Raw genomic sequence first — 11,681 nt, forward strand, 5'->3', positions numbered from 1 at the left:
AAGGTACCCAAACAGGAAAAGAGGAAGTCACACTATCTCTATCTGCAATCTGTTTCTATACCTAGAAAACCCCATAGTTTCTGCCTAGCAGCTCCTAGATCCAATAAAAAACTTCATCAAAGTTTGAAGATACAAAATCAGTGTACAAAAATTAGTAGCATTTCTATACACCAATAACGTTCAAGCTAAGATCCAAATCAAGAACACAATCCTATTCACAATAGCCAAAAAAGGAATAAAATACCTAGGAATACAGTTAATGACAGAGGTGAAACATAAACATCTCTACAAGAACTACAAAACGTTGCTCAAAAGAAATCAGAGATGACACAAACAAATGTAAAAACATTCCATGCTCATGAATAGGAAGAATCAAAATTGTTAAAATGGCCATAGTACCCACAGCAATTTAGATTGAATGCTATTCCTCTTAAAACACCAATTACATTCTTCACAGAATTATAAAAAACTGTTTCAAAATTCATATGGAAACATAAAAGAGCTCAAATATCCAAGGTGATCCTAAGCAAAAATAGAAAAGCTGGAGGCATCACATTACCTGACTTCAAACCATACCACAAGGCCACAGTAATCAAAACAGCATGGTACTGGTACAAAAACAGACACATACACCAACTGAACAGAATAGAGAGCCCAGAAATAATGCCAGACAGCTACAACCACCCAATTTTTGACAAAGTTAACAAAAAACAAGCGATGGGAGCAGGACTCCCTATTCCATAAATGGTGCTGGGATAACCTGCTAGATATATGCAGAAGACTGAAACTAAACCCCTCCCTGACACCATATACAAAAATCAATTCAAGATGGATTAAAGACCTAAATGTAAAACCTAAAACTAAAGACCTTAGAAGGTAACCTACAAATTACCATTCTGGACATAGGTCCTGGGAAAATTTTCTTCCCAAAGATGCCAACAGCAATGGCAACAAAAACAAAAATTGACAAACGGGACCCAATTAAAGTAAAGAGCTTCCGCACAGCAAAAGAAACTATCAACAGAGTAAACAGACAACTTCCACAAGGGGAGAAAATATTTGCAAATTATGATTTGATGAAGATAGGTTCTTCATAGATTCTAATATCCAGAATCTATAAGGAACTTAAATTAACAAGCAAAAAACAACCCCATTGAAAAGTGGGCTAAAAACCTGAACAGACACTTTTCAAAAGAAGACATACATGTGGCCAATAAGCATATGGAAACAAGCTCAACATCACTAATAATTAGAGAAATCAAAACCACAATGAGATACCATCTCATGCCAGTCAGAATAGCTATTATTAAAAAGGCAAAAAACAGCAGATGCTAGTGGAGTTGCAGAGAATGGGGAATGCTTATACACTGCTGGTGGGAATGTAAATTAGTTCAGCCACTGAGGAACACAGTGTGATGACTTCTCAAATAACTTAAAACAGAATTACCATTTGACCCAGCAATCCCATTATTGTGTATATACCCAAAGGAATATAAATCATTCTGTCATAAAGACACATGAATGCAAATGTTCATCACACACTATTTTCATAATAGCAAATATTGCATGTTCTCACTCACAAATGAAAGCTAAACAATGACACTACATGGGTACAAAGAGGGGAACAACAGATACCAGGGACTACTAGGCTGAAGGATAGGGGAGGGAGAGGATTGAAAAGCTACCTAATAGGGCCTGTGCTTATTTCCTGAGTGATGAAATAATCTGTACAACAAAACCCTGTGACATGCAATTTACCTATATAGCAAACCTACACATGTATCCCTGAACCTAAAATATAACTTAAAAATAAATATTTTCTTTTCATTTTTTGTATTACCAGTTTAGTTTTCTTTTTTACCTCTCACTCAGACTGTTGCAATAATCTCCAAGCTGTATTTTGTGCATTTCATTTTCCCCCATCCTATTTATTCTCCACATTGCTTCCTAGATCTTTTTTTTTTTTTTTTCTTTTTTTTTTTTGAGATGGAGTCTTGCTGTCACCCAGGCTGGAGTGCAGTGGCGCGATCTTGGCTCACTGCAAGCTCCGCCTCTTGGGTTCATGCCATTCTCCTGCCTCAGCCTCTCCCAGGACTACAGGCGCCTGCCGCCAAGCCTGGCTAATTTTTTTGTATTTTTAGTAGAGACGGGGTTTCACCGTGTTAACCAAGATTGTCTCGATCTCCTGACCTCGTGATCCACCCGCCTTGGCCTCCTAAAGTGCTGGGATTACAGGCGTGAGCCACCGCGCCCAGCCCTAGATTTTCTTTCCTAAAGGAAAGATGTCAAGCCACTTTCTTGCTTGACAATATTTAGCAGCTGGCTTGCCATTGATTTTAAGATAAGCTCCAAATTCTCCATTGTATTAGCTAGCTATGGTTATATAACAATATTGTAACAAATTTATTGTCTTATTTTTTATGATGTCAGTATTTATGATGTCAGTTTCTGTGGCTCAGGAGTCCAGGGATGGTTTGGCTGTCTACTCTGATTCAGAGTTTCACAAGGTTTACAGTCAAGGTATAGGCTGGTGCTGCTGTTTCAAGCTCTGAAGTTTAACCGGGGAAAAATCCATTTCCAAGCTCATGTGGCTGTTAGTATCTTTCAGCTCCTGTGAGCTGTTGGCCAGAAGCTGTTCTGAGTTCCTGGCTGGCTGTTGACCTAAGACTGCCTCAATTCCTTGTTCCATGAATCTTCCCAATGTGGACGCTTACTTTGTCAAAGCCAGCAAGGGAAAGAGTCTCCTTATAAGATGGAGTTTACAATCTTAGGCAATGCAATCACATCACCTTTGCCACATTCTGTGGGTTAGAACAAGCCCCAGACTCTGCCCACACTCAATGGTAGGGGATTGCATCAGCCATGAATATCACAAGGTCATCTTAGAGTCTGTCTGCCACATTCATCAAGTCATACAATGCCCTTAAAATCTGGTCTCAACTATCCTTCTTTTTTCTACTCCAGCACTGTATATTTTGTCACACTAAACTATTTTTAAGAAATTATATTGAATCACACGAACAACTGTATTTTGTTGGGGGGATTTTTGTTGGGTTTTTTTTGCTTCCAAGTTTTTCTCTTGTTATCTTCTGTGCCTGAATTACACTTCTGCACCTTACCTGGCAAAATTTTACCAAAGACCTTGTGCAAATTTCAGCTCTTCTTAAAACACTCCTGGTTCTACCCGGAAAAATTAATAGCTCCTTCCGAACTGTGTTCCTAAAGCCCTCCCACCGCCTTCCTATCCATTGATTTCATTATGGCATAATTTGGGGTGCTTGCCTAAAATTGTAATTCCAGTAAGAGTAGACAGTGTTTTATCAATACTGAACCCTCAACACCTAGCACAAGATCTTGTACTCGCAAGGACTTGTACATTTGCTAATGAAGTGAACAAATATTGCATTAATTTCAAATGTTTGCTGAACTGAATTTTTGAATGCTGTGTTGACCAAACTACTAGCAGGGCAATGTGTTTCATTCTTGAAAAGTTGTACCTTTGCATTCCAAACACAACCTTGCCTGCTTCCCAGAGTTCCAAAACTAAAGTAAAACATCCAATTAATCAATCAATTACGCAACTGATAAATCAAAGCTAGAGAAGTACTCTAATCAAGCATAACTTATTTTCCTATCTGAGATGTTTTCCACATTTTGTATTTGCTGAAGCAGTGCAAAATGTTGCTGCTTAAAGACATTATGTGACAATCTGTTTTCATTCCTATGCTCTAAAAATTATGAATAGTAATTTTAATATTCTTTATTATTTTTTATATTTTAAATCAGTGTTATTAGTTTTCCCATATTAATTTATTTTAATGACATATATGTAATTTCAAGGTTTGGAAAACTTTAGATAGCAGGTCAAATTCTTTTTAATTCAGTCTGTTCAACTGAGGTCTTTATGGGCTTGGAGTAGATATTGCTTTAGGCTGTATATTAGTCAATAAGCTAGATAATAAAAAATGGAGTATATTTTTCCATTTTAGAGTAATGATGAAAGTCACATAAAGACAATTTCCCAGGTAACTGAAATTAATATTCATTATTGCTAAAAAGTTTTTGTTTTTATTTTCATGATTGGGAGGAAAGCATTTCTTAATTGGGTTATTCATATTCTGGCCTCCTGAACTAGAAGTTCAGATAATTTGAATTTCTGAAATAATTATCAGTCATAACACTGTGGTGTGATATAACCATGCCTTTAAAGCCTGTTACAGGGAATCTATGCTACAGATTGTAACAGCTATGCTTTTCTTATTTATAACTGCTTTTTAACTTACTTTTAAAAATGTAGTTTCTTTCTATCAATGTGCCTGCTTCCAGTGCTGCCTCCTCCACCAACTCTTCTTAGGCATTTCGAAACATATAACCATTGAGGGTATATATGATCCTGACATTAAAATAAATTTATTACAATTTTATTATTATTACTTAGTAGTATTGAACATTTACTGAGCTCTTCCTATTTGCCAAACACTGTTCTAAGTCCATTAGGTGTATAATCTCATTTGTCTTCACAAAGACTATGGGTTAAGGTAAATGGTAGAAGAGCAATAATCTCCTAGACAGATTAAATACTTTATGCAAAGGAAGCCCTGTGGTAAAGAGAGAGTTAGTATGAATAAACATGGAAACAAGTCCAAAAAAGCTGGAGTAAGAAGTGTCTTGGTGGAAATGGATAAAAGTGGGAATTAAAAGGTGTGCAGGGGCCAGATCTTTTAAATGCTCTGGTTCAACCTTACCTTTAGAAACATTCTGTTATACCCATTGAGCAAAATAAAGCATCCTTTCTTCTTTGTTTCTTGAAAACATGACTTCTACTTTGAATGACATTTGGTTGTTTCTGTAATTTATCTTCATTGGCTCTATTAATTTAACTCAAATTAAAACCCCATCTCTACTAAAAATACAAAAAATTAGCTGGGCGTGGTGGCAGGCGCCTGTAGTCCCAGCTACTCTGGAGGCTGAGGCAGGAGAATGGCATGAACCTGGGAGGCGGAGCTTGCAGTGAGCCGAGATTGCGCCACTGTACTCCAGCCTGGGTGACAGAGCGAGACTCTGTCTCAAAAAAAAAAAAAAAAAGAAATACATAAAATAAATTAGAAGGATTGGCAAAATAAGAAATATTTCACCTTGAGGTATATTTATATGGATATGTTATTAATATACTGAAAAATCGTATAACATATTTAAAAATCTGATGTGTCTTGGTATAAATGGTATCAGTCAATTTTGGTTCAGAAATAACATTCTTGTCAATTATGTCGTCATTACCATGGACTCAGACCAGGTTTTGGCCATGGTCACTTGAAGTCTTCATGTCCACACTTAATTGCTTTAGTCTAATGTCTTTCTGAAAGCTTCTTGCAGGCAATTATAATCCCAGAGAATTATGTCTTCAAGGAGCTTCATGGAAAGAATGAAGTCTGACAAGTACGGGTTTCTAATAACTTTGAGTTCACACTATTGAACTAAATTTCCAAAACTCGGCCAGGCACAGTGGCTCAAGCCTGTAATTCCAGCACTCTGGGAGGCCGAGGTGGGCGGATCACCTGAGGTCGGGAGTTCGAGACCAGCCTGACCAACATGGAGAAAACCCGTCTCTACTAAAAAAAAACACACACACACAAAAAAATTAGCTGGGCGTGGTAGCATATGCCTGTAATCCCAGCTACTCAGGAGTCTGAGGCAGGAGAATCGCTTAAACCCGGGAGGCGGAGGTTGCAGTGAGCTGAGATTCTGTCGTTGCACTCCAGCCTGGGCAACAAGAGTGAAACTCTGTCAAAAAAAAAAAAAAAAAAAAAAATTCCAAAACTCGAATGAAGAAACTGATGGGTTTGTGAAATTGCTAATACAGATCACAGCAAGAATTAATGACAAGACTGAATGAACTGATGAAAAATAATTATTAATCTTTTTTTTTTTTTTTTTTTGAGATAGAACCTCACTCTGTCGCCCAGGCTGGAGTGCAATGGCGTGATCTCGGCTCACTACAACCTCTGCCTGCCAGGTTCAAGAGATTCCTTTGCCTCAGCCTCCCAAGTAGCTGGGATTACAGGTGCCTGCCACCATGCCCGGTTCTTTTTTTTTTTTTTTTTTTTTTTTTTTTTTTTTGAGACAGAGTTTCATTCTTGTTGCCCAGGTTGGAGTGCAATGGCGAGATCTTGGCTCACTGCAACCTCTGCCTCCCAGGTTCAAGCAATTCTCCTGCCTCAGCCTCCCTAGTAGCTGGGATTACAGACATGTGCCACCACGCATGGCTAATTTTATATTTTCAGTAGAGACAGGGTTTCTACATGTTGGTCAGGCTGGTCTCGAACTCCCGACCTCAGGTGATCTGCCTGCCTCGGCCTCCCAAAGTGCTGGGATTACAGGTGTGAGCCACCAAACCAGGCCTGAATCTTTTTTTTTTTTTTTTTATGGCAGGGTCTTGGCTCCGTCACCCAGGCTGAAGTGCAGTGGTGTGATCATGGCTCACAGCAGCCTTGAATTCCTTAGCTCAATCGATCCTCCCACCTCAGCCTCCCAAAATGCTGTGATTACAGGTGCAAGCCACTAGACCCAGCTGAATTATGGATTTTTAAGGCTGCTTTATGTCAAACATTGTGGGTTCTTTTAATATTGTTTTCCAGATTTAAGGAAACTTTTTTCTTTTAAGCTTTGTATAATTTATAGTAATTTGGTACTTTTGAAAACAAAAATGAAAACATTTGCTTTTCCTCTCTACCTGAACCCTCCAGAATTTAGAAGCAATTTATGATTTTTTTTTTATTATTATACTTTAAGTTCTAGGGTACATGTGCACAACGTGCAGGTTTGTTACATATGTATACATGTGCCATGTTGGTGTGCTGCACCCATTAACTCATCATTTACATTAGGTATATCTCCTAATGCTTTCCCTCCCCCCTCCCCCCACCCCACAACAGGCCCTGGTGTGTGATGTTCCCCTTCCTGTGTCCAAGTGTTCTCATTGTTCAATTCCCACCTGTAAGTGAGAACATGTGGTGTTTGGTTTTTTGTCCTTGCGATAGTTTGCCGAGAACGATGGTTTCCAGTTTCATCCATGTCCCTACAAAGGACATGAACTCATCCTTTTTTATGGCTGCATAGTATTCCATGATGTATATGTGCCACATTTTCTTAATCCAGTCTATCATTGTTGGACATGTGGGTTGGTTCCAAGTCTTTGCTATTGTGAATAGTGCCGCAATAAACATACGTGTGCATGTGTCTTTACAGCAGCATGATTTATAATCCTTTGGGTATATACCCAGTAATGGGATGGCTGGGTCAAATGGTAATTCTAGTTCTAGATCCCTGAGGAATTGCCACACTGACTTCCACAATGGTTGAACTAGTTTACAGTCCCACCAACAGTGTAAAAGTGTTCCTCGTTCTCCACATCCTCTCCAGCACCTGTTGTTTCCTGACTTTTTAATGATCGCCATTCTAACTGGTGTGAGATGGTATCTCATTGTGGTTTTGATTTGCATTTCTCTGATGGCCAGTGATGATGTGAGCATTTTTTCATGTGTCTGTTGGCTGCATAACGATTATTCTTATGTTTACAGCAACATGGTTATTTGCATAGATTCAAAAAGAATCTGTTCTCTGGCCAGGCACAGTGGCTCACACCTGTAATCCCAGAACTCCGGGAGGCCGAGGCAGGCGGATCACTTGAGATCAGGAGTTTGAGACCAGCCTGGCCAACATGGCAAAACGCCGTCTCTACTAAAAATACAAAAATTAGCCAGGCGTGGTGGCATGTGCCTGGAATCCCAGCTACTTGGGAGGCTGAGGCAGGAGAATCGCTTGAACCCGGGAGGTGGAAGTTGCTGTGAGCCGAGATTGCACCACTGCATTCCAGCCTGGGTGACAGTGAGATTCTGTCTCCAAAAAAAATAAATAAATAAAATAAAGGAGGGCCAGGCACGGTGGCTCATGCCTGTAATCCCAGCACTTTGGGAGGCCGAGGGGGGCGAATCACGAGGTCAAGAGTTCAAGGTGACTATAGGGAGAAAAATTATATTTCAATAGAAAAACGATAGTTTACCTGTTATTATAGTAATGTTCATTGTTTGAGTTATTTATCTACCTGTAGACTGGATTAGATTCTAGATTCTTCCAGTTTTCTCTAATGTCTGGCTACAATCTCCAGTGAAGAATGAGAACTGGCTGGGCGCGGTGGCTCATGCCTGTAATCCCAACATTTTGGTAGGCCGAGGCAGGAGGAGCACTTGAGGTCAGGAGTTCAAGACCAGCCTGGCCAACATGGTGAAACCCCGTCTGTACTAAAAAAATAAAATAAAATTAGCTGGGCATGGTGGCATGCCCCTGTAATCCCAGCTACTTGGGAGGCTGAGGTGGGAGGATGGTTTGAACCAGAGAAGTCGAGGTTGCAGTGAGTTATGGTGGTGCCACTGCAATCCAGCCTGGGCAACAGAGTGAGACCCCATCTCAAAAAATAAACCCACACCCAAAGTGTTGGTTTACAGAGGCTTTCCAATGCAATAGGAAGCTTCTGGAAACTTTAGGGAAAGAGGAGGATTAAGCAATGGAGTCTAGAGAACCCTCAGTGGCTTGCCACTGCCTTTCATTTCCAGTCTAGTTCCCCTGGGAGGCAGACAGGCCGAGCCCTCTGACATTGCTGCTGGAGGCTGTCTCTCCTGGCAAAGGCCCAGGGAAACTATCCTGCTGAGGCCCATCTGGAGCTGGCAGGGAGCTGACATTCACGGCCACATCTTAGTCATAACTCCTCCCCTCCCCTGACACAGCCACTTCCTCTTTCTGCTGAGAAAAGAAGTTGAATGAAGGACAAGCTCTCAGAAAGTTGCAACCCCTAAGAACTTGAGTACAAGGAAGAGACGGATGTTTATTGCAAGAACCGTTCCCCGGTGTCTCCTGGCTCATAGAGCAGCTCCAACAACACGTGCTTGGATGCCAAGTGTGCCATGGAGACCAATCCTTGCTATAATCCTGATGGAAAGAACTTCCCCATCTGAAAAGAGGATGGTGATAAGTAAACAGATTGTCAGGGGTAGAAGTACCCGTCGGACCCCAAGCCTGGAGCATTTTGCCAGAGACCTTTTTTTTTTTTTTTTTTTGAAACGGAGTCTCGCACTGTTGCCCGGGGTGGTGCAATCTTGGTTCGCTGCAACCTCCGCCTCCCGGGTTCAAGCGATTCTCCTGCCTCAGCCTCCCAAGTAGCTGGGACTACAGGCACGTGCCACCACGCCTGGCTAATTTTTGTATTTTTAGTACAGATGGGGTTTCACTATGTTGGCCAGGCTGGTCTCGAACTCCTGACCTCGTGATCTGCCCACCTCAGCCTCCCAAAGTGCTGGGATTACAGACATGAGCCACCATGCCCGGCTCAGAGACCTCTTGCATGAGCCATGATTCTACCAAGCGCTCTACTCATTCCCCCAAGAAATCACGTCATCCACTTTTTACAGATGAAGTTACCTGCTAAGCTAGAAGTGGCAGGAAGAAGCCAGGTGTGGTTTGTGGCTGCTTGGGAGGCTGAGGCAGGAGGAATGCTTGAGCCCAGGAGTTGGAGTCCAGCCTGGGCAACATAGCAAGACCTCGTTTCAAAAAAAAAAAAGAGTGGCAGATGGGACTAGGGCCTGGGGATATGGCTTCAAGGATGTCTCCCAGCCTGCAGGCCGCATTCTCTTGCCATTCCAGTTGATCATCTTGACAGGGAAAGTCTACCGGCACACGCATGCTTAGATGGGCCAGTATCTCCCTTATCTGGCCCATGAGGCCTCCCTCTCCAGGCCAAGCCCCACTCTTTACTAGGCACTAAGGCCTTCCATGCCCCCAGGGCACAGATTCTCCCATTTCTCTCCCCTCTTTTTTTTTGAGATATTCTCACTCCAACACCCAGGCTGGAATGCAGTGGCACGCTCTTGGCTCACTGCAACCTCCATCTCCTGGGTTCAAGTGATTCTCCTGCCTCAGCTTCCCCAGTGGCTGGGACTACAGGCACCCACCACACACCTGACTAATTTTTATATTTTTAGTAGAGATGGGGTTTTGCTATGTTGGCCAGGCTGGTCTTGAACTCCTGGTCTCAAGTGATCCACTCGCCTTGGCCTCCCAAAATGCTAAGATTACAGGTGTGAGCCACCACATCCACCTCCCCATGGTTGAGGATTTGCTTCTGGATCACCGCCTCCAGGAAGCCTACCTCTGCAACCCCTAGGCAATTTTGTTTTTTGAGAGGGTCTTGCTCTGTCACTCTGGCTAGAGCGCAGCAGGAGGCAGCAAGGCTGGGACCTGAGCAGTGAGTACAGCTCACTGCAGCCTTGAATTCCTGGGCTCAAGTGATCCTCCAGCCTCAGCTTCCCAAGCAGTTGGGACTACAGGCACGTACCACTGTGCTCGGCTAATTTTTATATTTTGTAGAGATGGGGTCTCACCACGTTGCTCAGGCTGGTCTTGAGCTCCTAGGCTCAAGCCATCTTCCCACTTCGGTCTCCCAAAGTGCTGGCATTACAGGCCTGAACCACTGTATCTGGCGTTTTTTGAACCCCAGCCTGTTACTCCCCTACAGATCACACCACAACCTGCTTAGGCCGCAAGCGGCTCACCCGGAACAATCCCTTCGTGCCACAAGTCCCTGGCTCAGTGCCCTTAACCACTCAAATCACCTAGGTTTTTTTTTTTTTTTTTTTTTTTTTTTTTTGAGATGGAGTCTTGCTGTTGCCCAGGCTGGAGTACAGTGGCGTGATCTCAGCCCCCTGAAACCTCTGCCTCTCCCGGGTTCAGGCAATTCTCCTGCTTCAGCCTCCCAGCTAGCTGGGATTACAGGCACCCACCACGATGCCCAGCTAATTTTTTGTATTTTTAGTAGAGACGGGGTTTCACCATATTAGCCAAGCTGGTCTTGAACTCCTGACCTCAGGTGATCCACCTGCCTTGGCCTCCCAAAGTGCTGGGATTACAGGCGTGAGCCACCATGCCCACCCCACCCTGGGATTTAAGATGCAAATTTCTAGGTCTGGGATGGGGCTTTAAATGATACATTTCTAACAAATTCTCAGGTGATGCCAACGTTCACAGACCACACTTAGAGTATCAAAGGCCTTCCTGCTCTCAGTAGGTCCAAAGCTACCCAAACCTTGCTCTGAATGCACTATAGACATGTCTGTACCCGAGTCAACACGCTGGAGGCCCTGCCCTCAGCCAGACGGGCCAGAGATAAGCACCATGCCAGTTGCACCTGAGCATCTTTCAGCTTTCATCAGTTTATGCCTAATCCTGCTCAGTAGGTGCCACCCCCATGTTGCCCACGAGGACTGGCAGGCTCACAGCAAGTAGCCAGCCAGGCTGGGATGCTGCAGCGAAAGTGAACTTTCCCGAGTGAGAATGGCTTGAGTTTGGGGCAAGGCTGGAGCCAGCTACTGAGGGATGTGAAGCCTCCCACAGAGGTACCATGAACACCTTCCCCAGCAAAGGGGGCACAAGTTCCCTGGGTACCCTCCTTGGGGCACCATTCCCTTACTCACTCCTAGGAACTATGGCTGAAACCTGGGGGAGGGAAGCAGCCTATTTAGGGAGCGCGATAAAGGTAGGGGGAGGTTGAGAAGCAGCTCCCCCCAGTGACAGTGAGGCCTCATGTCTATAATCCCAGTGCTTTTGGAGGCCAAGGAGAGAGATCACGTGAGGCC

At 43.0% G+C, this 11,681-nt stretch overlaps 1 long non-coding RNA gene across 1 annotated transcript in view, besides 2 other annotated features; it reads left to right on the forward strand.

The window, feature by feature from the left end:
* Positions 1–11,681, forward strand: part of LINC03009 (long intergenic non-protein coding RNA 3009) — a 78,642-nt gene that overhangs the window by 48,082 nt on the left and 18,879 nt on the right. The window lies entirely within an intron of this gene.
* Positions 8,241–8,742: an enhancer, noted in NCBI's record as "H3K27ac hESC enhancer chr7:76234980-76235481 (GRCh37/hg19 assembly coordinates)". NCBI's record gives its function as "activates a minimal SCP1, AML or CMV promoter by ChIP-STARR-seq in naive H9 embryonic stem cells {active_cell/tissue: H9 hESC(naive)}" and the evidence as "EXISTENCE:reporter gene assay evidence [ECO:0000049][PMID:30033119]".
* Positions 8,743–9,243: an enhancer, noted in NCBI's record as "H3K27ac hESC enhancer chr7:76235482-76235982 (GRCh37/hg19 assembly coordinates)". NCBI's record gives its function as "activates a minimal SCP1, AML or CMV promoter by ChIP-STARR-seq in naive H9 embryonic stem cells {active_cell/tissue: H9 hESC(naive)}" and the evidence as "EXISTENCE:reporter gene assay evidence [ECO:0000049][PMID:30033119]".

Source organism: Homo sapiens, chromosome 7 (assembly GCF_000001405.40).
Source record: "Homo sapiens chromosome 7, GRCh38.p14 Primary Assembly".
Lineage (NCBI taxonomy): Eukaryota > Metazoa > Chordata > Mammalia > Primates > Hominidae > Homo > Homo sapiens.